Below are 25,051 nucleotides of genomic sequence, written 5' to 3' on the forward strand. Positions count from 1 at the left end.
GGTCCTGAACCCACATAAAAGGATGGGCCAGAGCACTGCCTCTGAGACACCACCTCACCTTCTGCTGTTGCAGCTCCTACTTCCTCTGTGGCTTCACCCTTGGGTGCCACCCCTGTAGAGGGACAGACTGGGAGCACCCTCCCCCAATCACCTCCCCCTCATCTTTGAACAAAGCTGCCACCCCCATGCTCCAACTCAGGTCCCAGGGCTCCAAAGCAGCTCCCTCCTTTTCATGAGGAGCCACCCCTGCTGTTTGGCTGGCTCTTGTGCCTGGTTTATTCCATACTTGCTCTTGGGCAAGGGTATGAGCTCAAAGGCTGGTGGTGAAGGAGGTCTGGTGGGAAGGGCATGTTATCTCCCAGGTCAAACACCCCTGGAGGGAAAGAGGGTTTGGTACTGGGCTACTGACTGTGGTGGGCACCCCACTTGAAAAGCCAATGCTGGGCCAGGGAGATCCTGAACCTGGTGCCACCACGTGCTTTCCCCGATGCTGGGGCTTCTTTCCTGATGCCATTCCGGGTTGGGCGCCCGGCTTCTTTTCCTCAACGTGGCTTCTCTTATCAGTCTGGAATAAAAACTTCTAAAACCCCATTAACTAGTAATCACTCAGGGCCAGTGAGGGCGCCTCCACCACCCCAGGAATATCCAATTAGCAAATCATGATCCGGCCCTCCAGTGAAAGAAGTCAGACCCATTATCTGTGATGTCCCCAATTAGAGTGTTTATTCATGAAAGACTGAACTGAGCTGGCCAGGCCTCGCGGCTCCTTCCTTCCCAAAGACTCGCCAGATTAAGCATCACTTCCCACCCCCACCCCTGCCCCCCAGGCCTCCCCCACAGTCTGCCCAAATCACGAGGAATTCGGCTAGCAGCAGGATGGAAGAGTCAAATTTTTCAGGTTTGGTCATGCCTGACTTGAGTTCCATGTTTTGTGTGCCTTTTGTGGGGGTGAGAAAATAAATGAGTTGCGCCCTGAGTGTGGCTGTGATTTAGTTAGTATTTATCAATCGCATTTTAGCAGTAAGTCTGGCATTTATCAGACACTGACAATGCCCCAGGTGCCGGGGTCTCACTCCTTTCCCTTCCTGCTTTCTCTTCTCACTTGCAATTGGTTACGTTTTAACTTCATAAAAACGTGGAACAAAAATTCACCTGCTTTTAGGGCTAAAATGATCCTTAGTGGTTTGGTGGTTTAGCAACACCTTCCCTTCCTTTTACAAATGATGAAACATAATATTATTAGGTTTGGTTGTTTTATAAACTTCTCCATTTGTATATATCCAGTAATATTTTAATATGGCCATGAAAAAAAATGCTCATCTAATACAGATATCATGAAATAAAAAAATCAAGCAACATAGTTTTTGCTAGGAAGATGATTTTAGTAAAGTCTCCTCATTCTGGAAAAACTGATCAAGGAAAAGAAATATTCCGATGCATTCAAAAGAACAGCAAATTACTTTCTGCTTGCTGATGAGATAATATCTCAGGCCCCAAAGCATTCTGAGCAGGACATTTTAGTATTCGCCATAGTGTGCATTTCATTCCAATATCAGGCCTCTGAAGCCAAATCCTTTTCCCACTAGAAGGGAAATTATATTCCTCACTATCTTTCCTGCTCAGGCAAGTTGCTTGGGGGAATTAGGGAGCCTTGCTCTCGACCAAAACTTGTGTCAGGCTGCTGCGAAAACACAATCTGTCTGTTTATATTTCTAGAGCCAAACACGGTGTTTTCTATAATTCTGATTAGCATCTACTTGGCCCCTTCCTTGAAGTATTCTCCGTGGAAATGTTCCAGATACAAATCTGTACGCTCCTACAGTCAGTGGTATGCTAGAGCCAGCCTGTACGAGCTGTACGAGCTTAAGAGAGCTGATGGATCAAAATTACAGGAAATTTGCAAACTGATTTTTAAACATAACAATTATTAAAATTTATATAAACTTACCATTACATGAACGATGTGAAAAACAAAGGCAATGATACTCAAAACTTATCTCTTCTTGATTATTTTACTACTTTTTACTGGTTATACTGTATATGTTCTTGAAGTTTTTGTATCTATTGGGCCTATGTAGAGGAAATACTATAGAATGGTGTGGTGCTGTAACTGAGAATCTCTTCCCCACTAGCAATGTCTCATTGGTAACTTGAAAGCAGCCGTGGAGGGATTATTTACATCATGGAAATCAGAAACTCTGCAAGTCAGCACTCACCCCAACTATCCCCAGAGCCAGTTGTTAAACATTTACCAGCAGATTATTGGATGCAATACTGTCTCTTGAGTGGAGCCTGTAAACATCAGAAGAACCCCCAGTGTGGCCAGTGTGATGGTTCACTCTGTACCTTTCACTCACCTGGCAGTGTTGGGCAGGTACTGTACAAGTGAATTTTATATGCAGCTGAACCGTATCTATTTAGTATCAAGTTCTTTATTACTGTACTTCGATTATTTTTAGTGGACATTTTTTTCCAAATCATATCACATAATTTGCTGCCTTTCAAACAGAAATTTTGACAATATTTTAATACGTCTTGAGCTATGAGGTGTGTAAGTACCACCATGGCTTAGTGCTGTATTGTAATGATATCCTCACGTACATGAAGATATGTTTATTCACTATGCTAAATGACCTAGACAGCTATGAATTCTTAGTTGTTCTTTCCACTTTGATTGGTTTTTAAAACATTCTTCTGGGTTAGTGGAAAGATGTCAGCTGTCACTCATCCTTTTAATTACACAAATAATATATGAATCCACATTTATAGTGAACAACTTGAGCAATACATTGATTAAAAAGAGAAAGTCCTTCTGAAACTATTTTCTATTCTCTGCCCAGAAATAATCCCTATTACATTTTGATGTGTTTCCTTCGTGATCTTTACAAGCATAGATGTTATTATATATAATACATTTTTATATTATATATGCATGACTATAACATACATGGAAATAATAATCACATATTCTGTGGCAAGAGTTTTTTCACTTACATATTGAATTTTTTCCATGATAGTATATGTGTTGATTTCTGTCATTCTTTATAATAACTTCAGGATCTCAAAACCTTTAGTGAACCATTCACCTATTGAGGGGCACTTATGCGGTTTCCATTTTTTGTTTGTTGCAAACAAAGCAACATTTAATATCCTTGTTCATATATCTTTGGAAACATGTGTATGTATTTATGTAGGATAACTTTCAAGTAGAATTTGTGAGTCATAGCTCCTTTCATTTGTTCTTGTGACCTCAATAAAGTTTACTAATATTGCATCAATATAGTTTAATATTATACCTATGAGTAAAAAGGCTCTGAATAAAGCTCTGATATGAATAAGTAATTACTGTTAATAATAAGATACAAAGGTCGGACACGTGGTGGGAACCTGTAATCTCAAGTTCTCAGGAGGCTGAGGTGGGAGGATTACTTGAGGCCAGAAGTTTGAGACCAGCTTGGGCAGTATAGTGAGACCCTGTCTCTACCAAAAAAAAGAAAAAAAAAATTAGCCTGGTGTGGTGGCACACACCTGTTGTCCCAGCTACTTGAGAGGCTGAGGTGGAAGGATGGCTTGAGGCTGGGAATTTGAGGCTGTAGTGTACTATGATTGTGCCTGTGAATAGCCATTGCACTTCAGCCTGGGCAATATAGAGAGATCCTATCTCTAATAAATAAACACAAAAATTTTCGTGGATATTAGAGGCTGTTCACCAGCTCTCCTCTGGATAAGTGAGTTGGTGCAGAACATATTTGTTTGAAGGTGAGGAGGCAGATTTCCAGGATCTTACCCTTCTAGCATGCTCCAGCTGCCTTCCACCTGTCCTTCTCCACTTCTCCATGCCTGAGGGCTTTCTCCGATATCTCAGAAAGCCATTTTGCCTAGGAAGAGTAAGCCCAAAGTCCTGGGGTATTAACAGCCCCTTGAAGCAGGTCTCAAACAATGGCTGAAGTTGGTGTATAAACACCCCAGCTCACTCACTGCGAAGGTGGCTCATTCTGAGGCCTGAGCTTTACACCATTCTTTGGAGTTTCCCCACAGGATTGAGCTCCAGTTGCTCACAATGTTAGCTAGTTCTATAAGAAGCTACCTGCTGGCCACCTTCCCTTCCCTGGATCATTTCCCTACTCCTCCACAGGGACCTTCTGCAGCTCCCAGATAAATTATCTGCACTTGAACCCTTGTCTTTGGGTTGCTTCTGGAGGAAACCAAACTAGAATGGCCTGTCTTCCCAGTATGGTGATTATGGCAGTCTCAGCCCCCAAAATGAGATGTTGCTAAGCAAACATAATGCTTTATCTCACTTGTTGCAAGAGACAAGTACTCTCTTTATGAACCAATCAAGTTACGTTTGGCTGCCCTTGTACAAAACTTTGGGACATGATTTGACCGGCAGGGTGTGCTGATTAGGATAATAATGTGTTGCATTTTAATAGACATTCTCTCATGGAAGAAAGACAAATAGCCTCACACTGTCTTTCTTCCCAATGCACTTGATAGAGAAAGCTCACGGTCCCTTGAGAGTACTGGGCCTACATTCAGAGCTGGGGGAACTTGGGTGAAACTGAATCAGCTTCTCAAAAGAATGGGAAGCCTTGAGGCTTTGTTGACCAGTAAGCCAAAATCCAGGCAGCATGGACTTCCTCATAAGTCAGTGTTCCCCTGCTTGAGTCTGAAGCCTGGCACAGAGACACATCACATCATCCCTGGGCCAAGGTCAAAATGCCCCAGAGCACTTTGCTTTTAAGAGATATTTAAGGGAAGGCTTGGAAGTTGTTTAAAACTTGTCAGAAAAGCTTGTACCTTCTCTGAGCTGACAGGGCCTTTGGTTAAAACTGTTCCTTTTTCCCTCCTGAGCTGGGGGCTTTGACCAGCTGCTAGTGACTATCAACTTCTCTATCATTTCACTTGGGATTCTTTTTCTCATCTACATCCATTTATTTTCCTTGCTTTAAACAGCACTTAGATGTTCCTGATGAATGGACCCTAAAATAATAATCACAATCATAGTAAATCTTTATTAAATGAGGTACCAGGCATTAAGTTTTGTGATTCACATGCATTAACTCATTGAGTCCTTGAAATAACACTCAGATAAGACAAATAAGATGATTATTATTTCCTTCCAGATGAGGAAACTGAGGCACAGTGAGGTTTAGTAAGAGGCCTAAGGCCGCAAAATTAGGAAGTGACAGAGCTGGAATTTCATCACGGGTGGTCTAAGTTCACAGCCCAAGCTGTTAACCCCTCTAGGTGCATAAACTGGGCGAATCAGACCATTCTTTCTTTATAGGCTTATTCAGCTCATTTAACTGTGTGACCTTGAACTAATCATTTATCTGGGCAGTGCAGAAAGTCTCTTAGCTTGAGTTTTTCCAACGCAGATGATGATACAGCCTCATGGGGGTTGTAAGGATTACAGGGGTTGTGTATGAACAGCCATAGCAGGTAGTAGAAGAGGCATCCTATAAGAGGTAGTGATTATGATTGTTATTGTATTATTTTCCATCTACACATATGCATTCTATCTTCTAGTCATACTGAAGAAATGTTTGCTCCTCTCTAAACACATGGGACTTGGTACCCAGTCTTGCAACTGCCTGAAATTTTCTTTCCCTCCTCTCTTTGATGATCTCCTTTAAGGCCCAGCATAAGTGTCACCCTCTCTGAGGGAACTCCGTAAATTTCTCTGGAGTCATATCTTCATCAGTGATTCCAGCTAGCAGTAGGTAGCTTGATGTTTAAGAGCATAAGGTCTGGAGATAGAGTGTTGAGCTTCAAGAGCCCCACCTCTTCATAGGTATGTGATGTGGAACAAGTCCCTTTATGTGGAAAATGAGAAAATTATAGCACCTGTCTCATAGGATCATCATGAGGCTTAAATGAGAGAAATTATGTAAAGAGCTTAGCATGGGGTTGGGAGCATAGTAAGTGTTCAATAAATCTTTATATTATGTTAGCACTATGAATGTACCTATTATATCATTGACTACTTGCTATTATTGTGCTTATTGATAAGTAGTCTTTATTCCCACCAGACAACAAACTCCTTCAAGATGGAAATAGTGTCTATTTCTTCTTTTGATTTTTGCACCTACTTTAACGCCTGGAATATAGTAGACCATTTGATGTTGCATGGGTAGATAGATGAGTGGGTGGGTGGATGGATAGTTAAATGGATGGTTGGAGATTGTTGCCTGGTTCAATGGATAGACCAAGGGGCTGGGTCATCTTTGCCAACTGGGATACACTGATTGTCACATCAGGAGAAGGAGGGCATTTAGGGTACAGAAATAAGCTCCCAAACTCTTTAGTTTGAGCCAGGGATGACAAAGGAGATAAACAAAGCAAAACAAACAAACAAAAAACAAGATGGCTGGTGGCTCCACACTGGATAAAAGGTTGACTTGAATTGTCCCAAGATACCTTTCACTTCCTAACATTTGCCCTCACCTTTCCCCACCTCCAATCGTAAAAATACCAAAGTCTCATTCAGAGACACACTTGTCCACACAGAGCGGCCCGATTTGCCATCTGAGCGTCAGAAACACCTCAGACAAATCTTTCCTCAGGCAAGGAAATAGACAAATCAGTGTTTGGGCTTAGGATTCTCTTCCTGATTCTTCTTAGGGAGGAGGCTTGAGGATCCTACAGTTTTACAAATAAGACTAAAGCTTGCTGTGGTGGGAGATCACTGGTTTGGGGTCCTGATGCTTGATTTATATCCTTGAGGACTCTACATGTTTTCTTAGTCATTAAACCCTGTTTACCAGACCAAGTCTAAAATCTTGGTGGAGTCTGGATCCCTGGTATTTAGATTCAATGAGATGAATGCCTCAGAAATCACTCAGGTGAGAATCATCTCATTACAGTCTCATATGCACGCTATGGCATTAATGACTCTCTCTTTGTCAGATGCTAAGTGCAAAAAAAAAAAAAAAAAAAAAGAACTAACCCAAAAACATTCCTCTGAATATGTTTTTTATCTTCAAAAAGACCATCTTTCCCACCAACCAAGGCTTTTACTTATCTTTTTCTAGAGTGATTGCAGAGAAAATCAACTGTAAGAACTTTGCCACTGAACAATTAACTAATCATGTATCCACTTCCAATTGGGCTTATTTACTGAGCTTCAGCACTTAGGTGGGACACTTGGAGAAAGTGGGAACAGACTTTGTGCTAAGCTCAAAATAGACCCTTGTTTAACCCTTGTAAGAAAAACAGAGAAGAAGAAGGAGGAGCAGGGGAAGGAAGCAGAGGAGGAGAAAAGAAGATAAAGGAGGAGGAAAGAAGATTCTTTTTCTCTAAGATCTCACACTTCAACCAGGTTGGCAAGCCTAATGCCTCAGTATGACCTAAGAATTGAAGGCAGTTAGTAAAGCGTTGTTGTGCCAGGTGACCCCAGAGGAGAGGTCTATGTAAGCATTGAAAAATGAGATGCCAGGATTGGACAAAGGGACTGGGAGAGGTTCTTTAGGAAGAAGAAATTTATCCTTTCTTAAACGTCTCTTTTAATGGTGAAGACATATAGAGGTCTGGCAACCTGTCCCAAGCCATTCAGCCACAGGGGGAGAGCAGTGACCAGGACACCAGGGCAGCTATGCTAAGTCCAGTGCATCTCCCACAAGGCAGCAGTGACTTGTGTCTTCCTCCCTCACTCTGTCCCTCCTTCTCTTCCTTCTGCCTTCCTCCTTTCTTTCTTTATCCCTTCCATTAGTTGTTCAAGAAATATTCTGATTAGCAGAGTTGTCAAGTCCTCTCTGTACAGACTAACACTGTTTAAGGCATGGAGGAGGTGTTGGTATGCTTGGTGGGTCAGAGCTTAGACTTTGGAGAGCTCTAGGCTTCAATTCAAATTGTTGTTCACAGGTACCAGCAATTAGCTATGTGTCCAGGCCTAGTTATTTAACTCCATTAATCTGAGGGATTCTCCTCCATACGGTGGGATAATTATAATACATACTTTGAAGGATTTTGTGAAGAACAAAATGAAGTAATTCATATAAAGCAAAAAAAGAGTCACTAATATTATTAGTTTTGCTATCAGAAAATACCCAACAAAACAAAACTGGCTCAACATATCTTTATCTTTTATATTTCGGAGAACATACTGGGATCATCCTGAGAAGCTTCAGTTATCACTGTTGGAAAGAAGTTCAGAGGGACTGGGAAATCAAAATTTCTGCCCTTAAAAAAAACACAATGGCACTGAAAATCAAGCTTTAACTTGCTACAAAATGCTGAGTAGAAGAGAATGAAAGAAAAGCAAAAGCAGAGAGGCTGAATCACATGCTCAGGTGCCTTAGCAAGGACAGAATGATGTCTAAGGCCTGGAAGAATCTGTGACTTCAAAGGTTCTGCAGTGCCCACGCTGCAGAAGTGGTGCTTTGAGAGAAGGCCTCTGTCTGGGACATGAGATGAGGCATCTCCAAATGAAGTTTTCAGGCCCAGCCCCCATCTCTCCTCATCTTTTGCTGGTGACAGAGATGCATCATGGACATCAGAAATCTTGATTCTCTAGGACTTCTTCTTCTTTTTTTTTTTTTTTTTTTTTTTTTTTTTGACAGAGTCTCACTCTGTCACCCAGGCTAGAGTGCAGTGGCACAATCTCAGCTCACCTCCGCCTCCTGGGTTCAAGCACTTCTCCTCAGCCTCCCGGGTAGCTGGGATTACAAGTGAATGCCACCACGGCTGGCTAACTGTTCTATTTTTTTTTTTTTTTAGTAGAGATGGGGCTTCACCATGTTGGTCAGGCTGGTCTTGAACTCCTGACCTCGTGATCCACCCCCTCGGCTTCCCATAGAGCTGGGATTACAGGCATGAGCCACCACACCCGGCCCTTAGGATTTCTTCTTAAATGTCTTTCTGTAAGGCCCAGAATCTTTCTCTGCTCTACAAAGTCATTCCACATTAATATCAAAATCGAAGAGAACCTTGCCACTCTAAGACCTCAGGATCCTTCTTTCTGTGCCCTGACAACCTCCAATCTTATTTTAAAACTAGGGGAGAATTTGGCACTTTGCTTTACAGTTTTGAACCTTCCTGCTCTTCTAATGGGCTCTTTCTTTTCCTCACACAGACAGGGCTGCTCTTGCCTTGCTCATGGGGAAAGACCAAATCGCTTTCTTTGTTTTCTCCCCCGGGGCAAACAGCATCCTGCCCCGTCCACCTGTTCTCTCCCTGTGGCCCCTAAGGTCTCGGAGTTTGGTGTCTTGTATACTTTGCCTTAGAGAACAAAAGACACACTTTGTTGAAATGTCATATGTCAGCCGCGTCCTTCGATTCTATTAAAACCCTTTCTTTCTTTCCTCTTTCTTTCTTTTTTTTCTTTTTGAAAACATTATGGGGGAAAAAGGAGAGAAAGAGATCGAGGAGAGCAGCCCACAAAAAAAAAAAAAAAAAAAAAAAAAAAAAACGCAGCAAACCCAAGCCCCACTTTGGGGAGTTGAAACATCTGCACTTTCTCAGCAGTTTGAAAGGAAACAAAAAATTGCCAAGTGGTATAAAATTTGAAGAAAAATTACCCAAAGGAGGAATGGACGTTAACCACGCTTCAATTCCCCACTATGGGTTGACATTTGAAGTACTTTCTTCTCTCCTCTTTCTTTCTGATTCACAGTGTGTCTAAAGAGGTGAATTGGGCACACAAAACCCAACCTCCTCTTGCCAGGGTGGGTATGAAATATGAAAGCTAGACGATTGTCTGGGCTCAGTGCATTGGAATAACATTGGTTAAATTATGGATAGTTTTTGAATAGTGTCACTTTTTTTTTCTCTGCAGATGGTTGTTCACACAAGGAGCCGGGTCTGCATAATTGTATCACTAATCAGCAGTAAGGCAATTAGTTGTGTAAGTGTGCTATAATCATTCTAACAGAAGAGATGACGAAAAGACAAAAAAAAGGAGGGGGGGGACCAAAATGTCTTTTCTGAATCCATCAACTGACAGCCATAATTAGATATATATAATTGAAAATTCCACAGTAGGGGGGCCAGCTTGTACAAATGAATTTTCTCTGCTGCCCTTACGCATTTTTGTCTGTGGCTGAGCATCCCCCTTAGGAAAAGGCAGAAAACTCGTCATTCCAAAAGAGTGCATACTGTACTGGGTATTCTTTCAGGCCAATGATGTCAGAATAACAATTTTTTTTTTTTTTTTTGGTGTGGGGGTAGGCATGGGCTGGGGGGGGACTTGGAGGTTAGTCTGCTGTGAAGACCAGGGCTTCGCGTAAGCTGATATGAAATGCCTTGCTGTGTCGTCGTTGCTGTTATTTTGAACCCATCCTTCAGTGGCCTCATGGCCTTCTTTTGGCTCATAAAAGGACATTCCAGGCAGGGCCAACTTATCCACCGGGCACAGGAGGCAGGGTGTCTTAGGGACTACCATACCTTAAGGGACCCACTAGAATGTTACAGTTTTAATTTCTTTTATTTTTATTATTATTATTTTTTGAGATGAAGTCTCACTCTTGTACCCCAGGCTGGAGTACAATGGTGCAATCTCTGCTCACTGCAACCTCCGCCTCCCGGCTTCAAGCAATTCTCCTGCCTCAGCCTCCCAAGTAGCTGGGATTACAGGTGCCTGCCAACATGCCCGGCTAATTTTTGTGTTTTTAGTAGAGACGGGGTTTCACCAGGTTGGCCAGGCTGGTCTCGAATTCCTGACCTCAGGTGATCTGCCCGCCTTGGCCTCCCAAAGTGCTGGGATTACAGGCATGAGCCACTGAGCCTAGCTTAATTTCTTTTAAAAGTCAAAATAAAATAACTATAATAAAAATAAATCTAGCCTGCATTATAGTCACCTTTATACCAATGCAGTTATAAAATATAATTTTTCATATATTTTTTACAGATGATAGGGCCCAGGAGAACAAAACTGCTATGGCACATTAAAGTTCTAATGGGGCCTCGATTCTGGGCTAAGGTGTAGTCCTCTATGGAAGTGAGAAAAAGTGGGGTTTGAGAGATCTCCCTCACAACAAAATATTTTATCCTCAGTTTTTATAGGAAAGAGGGGACTTTATTTAACCAATGCCTGATGATCAAAACCTATAATTACATTTGGGTTAAAAATTCTTAAGTGCCTATGAGTTTGTGGAAACTGTAGAAAAGCTTAGCACCGAATTAATCAGACTATCGTTCTCCCATCAGACTAGAGATCTTCTTTTTAAATTGGGAGTGCATTCTCCCAACCTCTCTCTCTCTCCCTTTGAATCCACCAACTCTTCTATAATTTAATTGGACAAATCTTAACTGTGATTTTTTTCCCCTCCCAAAGAGGTGGCACATTGCGGCCAAAGCTTGTTAATTAAGTTCTTAAAATGCCCCCAGCTGTGCAATAAGTTTTCAAAGCAACACAACTGCAAATTTATTTATTTTTTTTTTAACATTTGGTGGCTAGTTTTCAATCATGTATTCTTCCCCCCTCCTTTTTTTTCAAGATGAGAAAAACAGGAATAATCTCTGGGAGAATTCCCATGCATTGTGGAATCTTGGACAGACAGTCAAACTGGAGGTGCCATTAAGTGGTGTCTAATTGGAGCCTGTTGAAGGAGGGGAGTCACAAGGGACGATTCTCTGGGCTCACAGGCAGCTTGGGCATGCATATGCCTGTGAAGAAATAATTCAGAGAAGTACCCAGGAAAGTGAGCTCCCTACTAGGGCCTGAGGGCAGGGCTTCTCCCTACAGGCAGGTGGGGCTTTAGGGATAGTGGACGGAGCCAGGTTCCGCAGAGAGAGCCCAGCAGACAGGATGGACACCCAAGGTGCTTCCAGTGTCCCCTTGCCCCTAAATGTAGCCCATGTTCCTTGTCTTTACCACCTCAGCTTAACTGCTAAAGAGATGGGATTGAAATGGAAGGAAAAACGGAGACGTGAATTTGCAGTTATCTTCACCCTCTGCAAAGCACCATCTATGATGCTACCTCTTCGCTGCTACATTGAAGATGCTACAAAGGATCATTTTATTTAGGATCAATTTTAAAAGTTACAAGGATGTCATTAATTCATATTTCAGTTTTCCATATTTCAATTCTCTTTTCAAGCACCTTATCATTCCCCTTGAAATGGAGTGTGGACACGTGTTTTGTGTAAGCCAACGGTGTGTCTGTAAACATGATACATTTCAAGCGGCAGTTTTAAAGAGCCAATGCATAATTTGCCACATTCTGTAATCCTCAGCAGACATGGTTCTGTTCATATGAAGGCTTCTCTATCCTGGGTCCATGTGTTTTCACCATGCACAGAACTTCCCAGCAGGGTCTACCTCCAACGCTATGCTGGACATGCAGCTTGAAGAAACAATAACCTTTTCCAAGTGAGACCAACGAGCTTTGAGGGTTGTTTGTTACTGCAGGGTAATTGTAGCCTGACTGATACAATTACTTAGAGTCTGTACTCAAAGGTGACTTGGGGGCCAGATAAGGCCTACAGAAATGTCTTGTTTGGCCTACCACGTGTTTTCTAAAAAAAAAAAAACAAAAACAAAATAAAGCAAACAAAAAACACAAAAAACTAGTTGCACACATAAAAATCTGGCAACACCAGACTTGCACTCTTCCTGTGTAGCCCCAGTCACCTGGAGCTCAGGGTAGCAGCCTCCAGCACTCTCCTCTGACACTAGGAGGCCTACATGATCTGCAGTCCAAGAATTTTCCACAGCTGGAGAACGAGAGTGTGAGGCGTCTCTTCTCTTCACTTCTGGATGTCATGGAAAAGGCAATGGCCAGGATTCTTTGGCTTCATATCCCAAGGGGTGCTGCATGGGGTACTTGCCGAAGTAACAGACTGTAGGTGTGAGTAGGTGCTGCAGATCTGAGATCTGGGTTTCTGGCACTCTGTTTGCATATCCATGGTATGGCAGTGTCCGCTGAGTGGGACATAGCTTTGAGGGAGTTAGAACCATTGGAATGGTCCCTTGCCAATTTCACACTTATCCCACTCAGTCATGGCAAAGAGAAGACACTACTGGCACTGGTAGGTGTGGCGCACTAATGACTAACCTCCCCTCTTGGCCCCCTCCTTGCTCTCCTTCAAATACCACTTACCTTTTTCCCCATGTGCATAGAAAGACTTGTAGCTGTTTATCTCTAAGCATGCCTTCTCCTGTATCTCTCGCATCCTCAGCAACTTCTCCCCGTGATTCAAGATCTATTTGTTGCTTTGCTCTCATTCTCATGGCTTCAAAAAAAAAAAAAGCACCTTCCTGGGCTTCATTGCCTGCTAGTCCCCAGAACCTCAGATGGAACAGTAAGTCAGGGGGAAGACATAGATGCTTGTCAAAACCTGAGTTAAAAATAAGTCACTGAGGCTGGGCACAGTGGCTCACACCTGTAATCCCAGCACTTTGGGAGGCTGAGGCAAGTGGATCACCTAAGGTCAGGAGTTCAAGACCAGCCTGGCCAATATGGTGAAACCCCATCTTTACTAAAAATACAAAAATTAGCTGGGTATGGTGGCAGGCACCTGTAGTCCCAGTTACTCGGAAGGCTGAGACAGAAGAATCGCTTGAACCCGGGAGGCAGAGGTTGCAATGAGCCGAGATCACGCCACTGCACTCCATCCTGGGCAACCGAGCGAGACTCCATCTCAAAAAAAAAAAGTCACTGAAACTTGGATGGAGCTGGACATCATTATTCTGAGTGAAGTCACTCAGGACTGAAAAACTAAATATCCTATGTTCTTGCTTCTAAGTGAGAGTTAAGCTATGAAGACACAAAGGCATAAGAGTGATATAATAAATTTTGGGGACAAAGGGGGAAGATTGAGAGGAGTGTGAAAGATAAAAGACTACACATTTGGTACAGTATGTGTTGCTCGGGTAATAGGTGCACCAAAATCTCAGAAATTACCACTAAAGAACTTATCCATGTAACAAAAACCCACTTGTATCCCCCAAAACTATTGAAATTAGAAATAATAATTTTGTTTTTGAGACAGAGTCTCACTCTGTCACCCAGCCTGGAGTGCGGTGGTGTGATCTCAGCTCACTGCAATCTCTGCCTCTCAGGTTCAGGCAATTCTCCTGCCTTAGCCTCCTGAGCAGCTGGGATTACAGGCATGTCACCATGCCCAACTAATTTTTGTATTTTTATTAGAGACAGGGTTTCACTATCTTGGCTAGGCTGGTCTCGAACTCCTGACCTTAAGCGATCCACTTGCCTCTGCCTTCCAAAATGCTGGGATTACAGGCGTGAGTCACTGCACCAAACCAATAATACTTTAAAAAAGAAAAAAAAAATTGCAAAGGAAAATAAAGTTCAAACTTTACATACTTAAATTTTGTTTTGTTTTGTTTTTTAAAGTTGCTGAGACAGAGTCTATCCACCATGGGATGAGGCCACAGAAAACGTGTCCTGAGCTGCCCCACGCCCGGCACCTGGCTGCTAATATCTTTCCTGCCTTTGTTTTACTCCCTGGGCAGCTTTCTCTCCTTTCTGAGTGCTGCCAGCACAAAGGGTCTTCCTCTCTCAGCATCCTCATCTGTTTCCAAGATGTGGCACAAGCTTTGAGCAAAATCGTAAAACAGAACAAGATTTTCTTCTCCAAAGTCCCTAGCTGGGCCATCTCCTTCACCTCATTGCAATGCTCCTTACCCCTGGTTCCTGAGTTTTTTCTTCTCGACACCCCAGCTGACACTAAAGCTTGCTCTCAGTATAAGTTTACCTCATTTAGGCAAATTGTGTCCCCATATGACCTCTCTCAGAGCTGCTGGCCTTTTAAGCCCTCCTAAAGGTTCTATCCCTGTTAAAGCTTATTTACCATTACACTCAGGACACAGACTTATTTTCACAACAGAGCTCCTTCCCAGGAACTGGAAGTGACACCTGGTCAGTGGAAGCTGATTTCACCTTTGGAGAATGGCTTCCTTATTTTCTGGGATGCTGGCTCCCTTTCATCTCCCTGGGATGACCCCTTCCCCCACAACCCAAGCATGCGTGCTCCTGAGCTCTTGGACCTGGTCCTGCTTTTGAGATGATTCTCTGTCTCTTCCCTTTGGCTGTCTTCTTCCAAGCCATCTTGCAAACTGATACACAGATACATAGAACCATCTTGCAGACTGCCCCGCTAAGCAATTCCAGGACTGACTCCCTAAGACTGGCAGCCTGGGAGAGTGGTTAAGAGCACAGGCTCTGAGGCCAAAGTGCAGAATTTGTATCCTGGTTCTGCTACTTCTTAACTGTGTGACCTTGGGCAAGGGACTTAAGCTCCAGATGTCTGTTTTTTTCACTTGTAAAATGGGGAGGGATAATAACGGTACAGGCCTCTGAGTTAATACATGTAAAACACTTCAAACATTACCTGGCATCTTCAGGGAGCTCAGTAAACATTAGCTACTCATCTAGCTCAGCCTAAATAAGAGCTCAGGGTCTCTGCTCCCTTTGTTGCTTTTGCCCCTTTTCTCAAGCCAATTTCCTAGATTTCTTGCAGAGCCTCCCTCTGACTGCGTCCTGGTCATCCTGGGAAGTCTCCTCTCTGACTTGGGGTTTGCCCTGAGCCACAGTCACTTTGCATGGCTTTTCCTCCCAACCTCCTCACCCCTGCAATATAGCCCTCCTCAGGTTGGCAACCTCTTCTCTTCACCTCTGCCTCCCCAACATGCCTTGCAAATAGATCTGCTGACCACAGCTGCTCAAGAAAGAGTTTCTTTAGCTTCATAATGTTGGCTCTTGCTCTGTCCTAGGATGGAGGTGGTTTTAGAATCCTTTTACCTCCAAGACCCTATTAGTACAGCCTTCTGCTGCTTCATATTTATTTGACACTCTTTCATTTGGTCTCCCACCCAAATCATAATAATAAGTGAGCCATGAATTGGGGTTGTCCACCGTCTTGCAAGGCCGGTCAGTCACTTTTTGGTTTAGAGAACCATCAGAATAGGCCGGGCATGGTGGCTCATGCCTGTAATTCCAGCACTTTGGGATGCCAAGGCAGCCAGATTATTTGAGGTCAGGAGCTGGAGACCAGCCTGGCCAACATGGTGAAACCCCATCTCTACCCAAAATACAAAAATTAGCTGGGCGTGGTGGTATGCACCTGTAATCCCAGCTGCTGGGGAGGCTGAGGCAGGAGAATCACTTGAACCTGGGAGGTGGAGGTTGCAGTGAGCAGAGATCGCACCACTGCACTCCAGTTTGGGCAACAGAGTGAGACTCCGTTTCAAAAAAAAAAGAGAACCACTAGAATTAAGCCTATACCAGCCTGCTGGAGGCGGGAGCTTCCATCTGCAAATGTTGAAATGTACGTCTTCTCACCCTAAATCCCAGTCTCCAAGCTGTTCTATGCCATGCCAGCTACCCAGAAAAGTCCTCGGCTGTGGGTTGTTTGTGTTATTTTTTTAGCTGTCATTAAGCCACATGCATTCCTGCTTGTGTAATCATCCGAGAACTATATGAGTTAGCCTGGGAATTGCCACCAACATGCTGCTTGTACTTACTAGCTTTATAACTGATGACCAGGCCGCAGGATAATGACAGCTTTGCTGCCCCACAGTCACTCAATTTAATGTAACTGATTTCTGAAGAAGCAAATGCATCTGCTAACTTTGTCTATATGAGTCAGTGGTATGGAGGCAGAAATCGGCTAAATTATAGGATTAAAAGAACCAAGCAAATTCTAAACATCCCATCCTGGGCCTCTTTGGTCATAGGTCAAACCTTGGTCCTGGAAAGTAGAATTTGATCTGCACAATGCTTTTCAAAAAAATTAGATTTGAACACCTTTAAGAAACTCCTATATCCTCTAGTTTGCTACAATCTCCACTGTTCCCTTTTGTTTTACGTTTGGTTTGCTTCATTCATTTATGTTGACCTGCTTGGTCCCTGAAGCCATTGGGTTTACAGCTAAAAAGCTGAGTGCTTCCTCTAAAAATATGAAAACTAATTACAGAGACACAGAACCATGGAGTTTAGATCTGAAAGGGAAAAGGGAGTGTAATTAAAAAAAATAATTGTCGCCCCACATTTCCAAGTGGAGACTGTGAGGCCAAGTAACATGAAACCATCTGTGACCCATGAGTATCTGTTGACATGGTCTTTGTCATCTTGTTTTCTCAAAAGAGATAACTTCTCTGGATTTTTTTTTTCTTTTTTGAGATGGAGTCTCACTCTGTTGCCCAGGCCTGGAGTGCAATGGCACAGTCTTGGCTCACTGCAGTCTTTGCCTCCCAGGTTCAAGCGATTCTCCCCGCTCAGCCTCCCGAGTAGCTGGAATTACAGGCACCTGCCATCATGCTTGGCTAATTTTTATGTTTTTGTAGAGAAGGGGTTTCACCATGTTGGCCAGGCTAGTCTCAAACTCCTGACCTCAGATGATCCACCCTCCTCGGAATTCTTTTGAGAAACATAAAAGCTATAGAACTATAATAATCATGGTAGCATCATTTGTTAAGAATGTCAGATCCTGATACACAGAACTCACGTGCCAGCTGTCATCTGCCATGGCCTCGGCCTTGTCCCTGGCCAAACCTGAAGAACTTCTCCTTCATCTGGAAGGGCCCACTCCTACCAAAGCATTGTAGCATTGTAGATTTTACTGAAGATCTTGCAATGGAGACAGAAAAAGGGATTGATGTCATGGTAGACCCAGTCTTTCTCTTAGGAATCTTCCCCAGATGTATATTCTCCTCCTAGTATCACTCCTGTGCCCACTACTGACCAGGTCTCTCCCCTGAGCCTTCTTTTTATCAGCCTCTCCAACCCCACACTTCCACGTGCCTCCCCTGGGTTTTTCTGTCCTCTTTTCTTATGTTAAGCGACATAGCTTCTGTCTCTTTCTATCCAGTTTCTATCTCTTTCTGCCACTTAATACTATTTTCAAGTGTGAGGATGGAAATTTTGCTTGTGCTCAGCAAGTAAAAAATTCTTCAGTTCTCATGACCTATCTCTATAAATATGACAATGGAGGATTATAAAGAATAGCAACAAAACAGTTTTGTTCCTCTAAACACACATGGTCTCTAATCCTCACTACAAATTTACAGTGAGGTAGGTATTTTTTGTACCTCATAGAAAAAAAAAAGAAGAACAGAGATCAGGGAGGTCAAGTCACTTGCCCTGGGTCACACAGCTTGTAAGTGCTGCAGATAGAACTTACTCAGGCCTGACCCAAACTCCTTCTTTGCCATGTGGGGGCATTGGATGGCAGGTAGTGGTAGGGCTGAGTTAATTGATCTGCTGGCATCAATTCTAGATGATTCTTCCCTTTAATCTCTATTGGGATCTAATAACTCAGAGGTGGCAATTTTGGTTAAACACCCTCTTTTTTTTGAGACAGTCTTGCTCTGTCACCCAGGCTAGAGTGTACAGTGCAGTGGCATGATCTCAGCTCACTGCAACCTCTGCCTCCCAGGTTCAAGTGATTCTCCTGCCTCAGCCTCCCAAACAGCTGGGATTACAGGTGCCTGCCACTGCGCCCGGCTAATTTTTGTATTTTTAGTAGAGACAGCGTTTCACCATCTTGTCCGGGATGGTCTCGAACTCCTGACCTCTTGATCCAGCTGCCTCGGCCTCCCAAAGTGCTGGGATTATAAGCGTGAGCCACTGCCCCCAGCCCCTTAAACACCGTCTTTTTAAAGAGAATTCATCTTCAGGATGCTTTTTGATGCTTAGAAAGAAACTCCTAATGAGGATACTTCTCCAACTTTTCTTTCTCCTCCTCATCTGAGCCTTATTATAATTCAAGTCTATACATTGCAAGTGACAGTGGTCTCTTTTCTTTACTTCTTTAATTAGTACTGTCATTTTTAATCCACTGGAAAGAAGAATGGGAGATTGAATATCCCAACAGACATGTTATTCTGAAACTCCAATGGTGACAAATTCAAAAACTCATAATAAAGATTTGTTTTCCTATGCTATCCTATTAGCTCAGAGTAGAGAGACTTAGGAATCTTTTCCCCTTTTGGGGGCTAATTCAGAGCCATTTGTGGTTATCACACATAAGATGTTTTAAAACCAAGTTGTCAGGTTGTTAAATGTCTTCGCCATAGAGTGTTCCAGTAATTCAATCCCTCTGAGTTGCTCTGGGTGTCTTAAATGTTTTGATTGCAAATACAGGAGGGAAACTGCTGTCCTGAAGTCTCCTCTTAAATCTTCTTATGGATTAATTTGCTGTGTGGCCTGAAATAGGTCAAAAGGTTTTGGCTCAGGAGTAGAATTCTAGAAATAATCACCCTATAGACACTCTAAATCAATCATAATTAATGCACTTGCCAGGTCCTGTCAGCTGATTGCTGCTAGAGGGTGAAATAAAGAGACCCTTTCTAATACAATTTGAAAAGAGATCAAATCTGTCATTTCATCTAATAATTGAGCCAAATGAGAAAAGAGAAGGGTCAAAGTTCACTGGATGACCTTATGTAAACCCAATAATGCATAATTCATTTCCTTTTTATGGAATTTATAAGCTGCTGTAAATGGACGGGACAGAATCATCTGCCCTCCCTGGCTTCTCCCAAACTCTTCTTGCTTCTCCTAAAATGCCTTGTAGAGCTGCCCAAACTTTTCAGTGGCATATTCTGGCTGCATAATCCCCAAACCTTCAATATGGGCCGGCATTTAATTCATTCTCCCAAGCGTGTGAAGTTAATAACTGAATAAATCACTGGCAGCTCTCTCTGAATGATATAAAACCTGTAATTTATTTATTGAGTGTTACAAATACAGTTACAACATGTTTTCATGCAAAATGCTTTCCCTCTTTTTAATATTATCCAGAGAAAGAATCTGGGTTTTGAGTTCTGGAAATGGAGTTTGGAAGACAGCATGTTTGTGGATTGTCCGTTCTTTCCTGGTGTAGCGATGTTAGGAAACTGGGTCTCTTCCCAGCTTTTGCACCATTTGGAATGAGGCGAGGTGGGACAGAAGGAAAGTGTATTTCAGAAAAGCTTCTAGCCACTGCCGGGGCTCCCCCAAGCAGCTGTACTCAAGTTTACCAAAGCTCTGAACTGCGTGTGAACAAAACTCTTCTCTTAAATGCACAGTCAGAGTTCTCGTCTCAAGACCTCTTGATAGGCCGGGTGCGGAGGCTCACGCCTGTAATCCCAGCACTTTGGGAAGCCAAGGCATGCGAATCACTTGAGGTCAGGAGTTCGAGACGAGCCTGGCCAACATGGTGAAACCCCCTTTCTGCTAAAAATACGAAAAATTAGCCAGGTGTGGTGGTGTGCACCTATAATCCCAGCTACTTGCCAGGCTGAGGCGAGGGAATCACTGGAACCCAGGAGGCAGAGGTTGTAGTGAGCCCAGATCACACCACTGCACTCTGGCCTGGAAGACAGAGCAAGACTCTGTCTCAAAACAAACAAACAAACAACAACAACAACAACAAAAACTTGATAGCCGCCAGCCAATTACTTTTTTTAAAAAAACAAAACAAAAAAAGTTCATTTCATCAGATGGCACCATTAAAGTAGCTATGCATTTGATTTTTATGGGTGATGTATGAAGGGATCGTATACTTCTCTCTAATGAAGTCAGCCCAAGTTGCCTTCAAAACTTCTGGCCGCTATTGCATATTCTTTTCACAGTTGCCACATCAGACTGTTTAACTGAATCCCTTCAGACTGGATGGAGAGAATCCCAGGGACCCAGCCACTCAGCGTGCTACATGGCACTCACGACATTTACAAAACGTTTCATTTCTCTTTTTTATCTGTTGCTCAAGTCTTCCAAAACACCGTTTATTTCTTTGCTGCTTTTGTATTGCATATTCCTTTGTACCACTATGAGGATAAGCTTTCTAAAATATGGAAGCGATCTTGTCAGTTCCTGCTGTTGGAAACTTCCGTGTACTGTGAAAGGACAAGTCTAAATTGGCTCCGTCATTCCAGAGAATGCTTTGTTTGACATTATGTAACAAAATTGAAATTTTACTTATTCTTTGACTCTCAAAGTTCCACTTTTCATAATTTGCCCTAAATAAATTATGAAAAACTGATAAATATAAAGATACATATATACATATATACATATATATGATGTGTATTGTAATTTTAGAAACAACCTAAAGTCTCATCATTAGGAGATTGTTAAGTAAATTATGATATTTCTAAATTAAAGGAATACCCTGCAGGCATTAAAAATGATGTCTTCGAACACCTGGAAATAAATTCCAGACATGTCTTTAAGTAAAAATGCATGTCATAATACAGCCTGAGAAGTGTGATCCTATTTCGTTTTTAGAATATCTTTCTTAATAAGCAGAGAAGAAAAACATGAGTACTTTGTAGTTTATCATAAACCAATGTCACAACGTTGGCAAGAATGGGAAAATCACACACACTAAGAAGAAACCTGGCTTATAACTGGAGTAGCATTCCAATCAGTGGGGTGGATGATGGGCTCAAAAAATAAATGATGTTAGGATATTTGACAATCCATAAAGAATCCATGAAGAAAAAAGCTATAGAAAAGTCCAGATTTCAAATTTTAAAACCTTAGCCTGAAAAGTATATTTATTCTGTATATATTATGTGTATATGTGCATATGCACACACACATTCAGATAAAATACTTATACATACAGATTGATTTGCCAACACTGTAATTAAAATTTTTAATATGGTATAAAACATCACAAGCAAAGTTAAAAGACAAGCTGAAGACAAAGATAATATATTTTCAATAAATATCACACCGATAGATGATATATGAAATATTAAGATAAAAGAAACAGCTCAATAGACAAATCATGAAAGACGTTCTGGCAATTCACAGAAGAGAAAATTCAAAAGGCCCATGAACTCATGAAAAGAAATTCAGCAACCTTAGTAATAAAGGAAATGCACATTTTTTAAAATAGCAGTTTGTGAAGTCTGCCAGTGTCAAGTGCTGGGAAATATATGCAGAAATGGGAACTCTTAAACATTGCTGATGGAATTTGCTTCACATTAGACAGCAATCTGGAAACAGCCATCGAAGTTAAGTATGTACCACAGCGCAACAGTTCCATTTGTTGTTGTACATGTTAAAGAGATTCATTAGGTATACAGCACAAGGAGACAAGAAAGACGATGTTCTTAGTTGGGGAGAGCAAAAAATGAACAATCTACAAGCCCATGGGTAGTGTACTAGATACATAGCAGTGGTATTTATATTATAAAGACACAATTGCTGGGGCAGACCCTTCAGGTTCAAATCCAGGTCCTACCATTTGCTAACAGTACAATCAAGGACAATTATCAAACTGCTCTGTGCTTTACTTTTCTCATCTGTAAAATGGGAACAATAATAGCATAGGATGAATGTATCTTAATGAAGAACAAAAGGTTAATGTGTAAAGCATTTAGAACAGTCTGTGGTACATAGTATCACATGTGATTTACTATTGTTATTATAATAGAATAATCAAAGTAAAAATAAAAATCCTAGGTTTTCATGGAACCACATTGTTAAATATCAGAACTTAGTGTTGAGAAGAAAAAGCAAGTTGTAAAATGATATGTATTACATGGTACCATATGAAAACATCTATGCCATCTTTAAAAAAGTGCATAAAGCAATATTATTTGTTGCTATGATAATACTGATGAAAGAGAAGTATCAGAATATTCACAGATAAATTTAATCTGTGCCCAGTTCTGGAGAGAAATGGGCTAAATCAGGAAAGGGTGCTGCTTTAAGTATATCTACGTTGTTTTATTTTCTTTAAAAAAGAGAGATCTGACGAAGAAAAAAAAAACTATCAGTGATTATAAAATTTTGGTGGTGAATATACAGGAGTCTGTTCTGTTTTTTTCCAAACTTTGTTTAAAGTTGAATGTTTTTATTTTGAAATAATTCTAGAGCCACATTCAGTTTGAAGAAATAATACAGAGATATCCCATGTTCTCTTTTAAAATTGGCTTCATTCACCCAACATATTGCTCTAGAAACGTATGCAGCTTGCTGCATCTATAAATAGTACATTTTTATTGTTGAGTAGAGCTGCATGGTATGGATGTACCACATTTGTTTCACCATTCACCCGTTGAAAGATATTTAGGTTGCTTTCAGTTTGGAGATATTATAAACAAAGCTGCTATAAACATTTGCATACAGATGTGTGTAAACAGAAGTGTTAATCTTAGATGAATGCACAGGAGTGCAATTGCTAGACCCTATGGTGATTGCATGTTTCGTTCTTAAGGAAACTAACAAACTGTTTTTCAGATTGGCTGTGCCATTTCACATCCCCACCAGCAATATATGAATGGCCTAGTTTCTCTGTACCCTCGCCAGCATTTGGTGTTGTCATCTTTTTAATTTTAGCATTCTGAGAGATGTGTAGTGATATCTCATTGTAATTTTTCTAATGGCTGATGATGTTGAACATCCCCAGATCCCAAAGGCTATAGCCTATTTTTTTTTTTTTTAAGTGGTGGCCGGGCGCGGTGGCTCACATCTATTATCCCAGCACTTTTGAAGGCCGAGGTGGGCGGATCACATGAGGTCAGTAGTTCGACACCAGCCTGGCCAACATGGCCAAACCCCGTCTCTACTAATAATACAAAAATTAGCCGGACGTGGTGGCGTGCACCTGTAATCCCAGCTACTTGGGAGGCTGAGGCAGGAGAATCACTTGAACCTGGGAGGCAGAAGTTGCAGTGGGCCAAGACCATGCCATTGCACTCCAGCCTGGGCAGAAAGAGCAAAACTCCGTCTCAAAAAAAAAAAAGTTTCATAGTTGTACATCTTACATTTAAGTTTGTGATTCATTGTTTTCATACATTTATTAATTTTAATTGAAATATAATTCACAAACCATAAAATTTACCATTTTTAAGTATGCAATCCAGTGGTTTTTAGTATATTCACGAGATTGTGCCACGTCACTGCTATCTAGGTCCAGAACATTTTTACCGCCCCAAAATGAAACTCCACACCTGTTTGCAGTCACTCCCACTCTCCTCCCTGCAACTCCTGGCAAGCAGTAATTCACTTTCTGTCTCTATGGATTTTCTATTTCTTGACTTTTCAAACAAATAGAATTATATGACATGATATGTGACATTTTGTGTCGACTTCTTTTGCTTAGCATATTTTCAATGTTTATCCACTATAGCATATATCAAGCTTCATTTTTATGGCTGAATAATATTCCGTTGCATGTCTATACCATATTTATGTACCCTTTCATCAGTTGATGGGCATCTGGGTGGGTTCCACATTTTGTTTTTCATAAATAATGCTCCATGATGTTCTGTGAACATCATGTATACATTTTTGTATGAACATATGTTTCCAATCCCCTTGGGTATAGATCAAGAGTTGAATTGCTGGATCGTATGGTTAATTGTTTATTCTTTTGAGGAATCAACAAACTGTTTTTCACAGTGACAGCACCATTTTATACTCTCAGGGTATCAGGGCTTTAATTTTTCCATATTCCTGCCAATGCTTGTTATCTTCTGGTTGTTTTGTTTATTTTATAAGGGGCTATGTTAGGGAATGCAGTGTGGTATCTTGTGGTTTTGGTTAGCATTTCCCTAAGGACAAATGATATTGAGCAACTTTTCGTACTTTTTGGCCATTTGTAAATTACCATTGAAGAAGCGTTTATTCATATCCTTTGTTCATTTAAAAATTTATTTTATTTCTTTTTATTGTTGAGTTGTAAAAGGTCTTTATACATTCTGGATACTAGACCTTTATCAGAGATATGATTGACAGATATTTTCTGACATTGTGTGTATTATCTCTTCACTTTCTTGATTGTGTCCTTTGATGCACAAAAGTTTTAAATTTTGTTGAAGTCTAACATATCTATTTTTTTCTTTGGTTGCTTGTGCTTTTGGTGTCATATCTAAGAAACTATTGCCTAATTTAAGGTTACAAAGATTTAAACCTATGTTTTCATCTTTATTATTTTAGATATTAAATTTAGGTCTTTGATTCCTTTTTGATTTATTTTCTTTTTTGTTTTTCTTTTTGAGATGGACTCTTGCACTGTTGCCCAGGCTGTAATGCAGTGGCATGATCTCCGCTGGCTACAACCTCTGCCTCCTGGGTTCAAGCAATTCTCTTGCCTCAGCCAACGAGTTAGCTGGGATTACAGGTGCCCACCACCACGCCCAGCT

The 25,051-nt window shown here is 41.5% G+C and overlaps 1 long non-coding RNA gene across 2 annotated transcripts in view, besides 1 other annotated feature; it reads right to left on the minus strand.

The window, feature by feature from the left end:
* LOC102723323 (uncharacterized) overlaps positions 1-25,051 on the minus strand; it is a 137,467-nt gene that overhangs the window by 61,175 nt on the left and 51,241 nt on the right. Inside the window, exon 3 of one of the 2 annotated variants that reach the window (XR_001752179.2) lies at positions 18,503-19,112. The exons of the other annotated variant lie outside the window; for it this stretch is intronic. This is a non-coding gene — a long non-coding RNA (uncharacterized LOC102723323). Of the gene's footprint in view, positions 1-18,502; positions 19,113-25,051 lie in introns of those variants that run through there. 2 annotated transcript variants of the gene reach the window in all.
* Positions 9,047-10,273: an enhancer, noted in NCBI's record as "VISTA enhancer hs848". NCBI's record gives its function as "enhancer in: neural tube[8/9] | hindbrain (rhombencephalon)[6/9] | forebrain[7/9]" and the evidence as "EXISTENCE:transgenic organism evidence [ECO:0001131][PMID:17130149]".

The sequence above is a fragment of the Homo sapiens genome, chromosome 16 (assembly GCF_000001405.40).
Source record: "Homo sapiens chromosome 16, GRCh38.p14 Primary Assembly".
Lineage (NCBI taxonomy): Eukaryota > Metazoa > Chordata > Mammalia > Primates > Hominidae > Homo > Homo sapiens.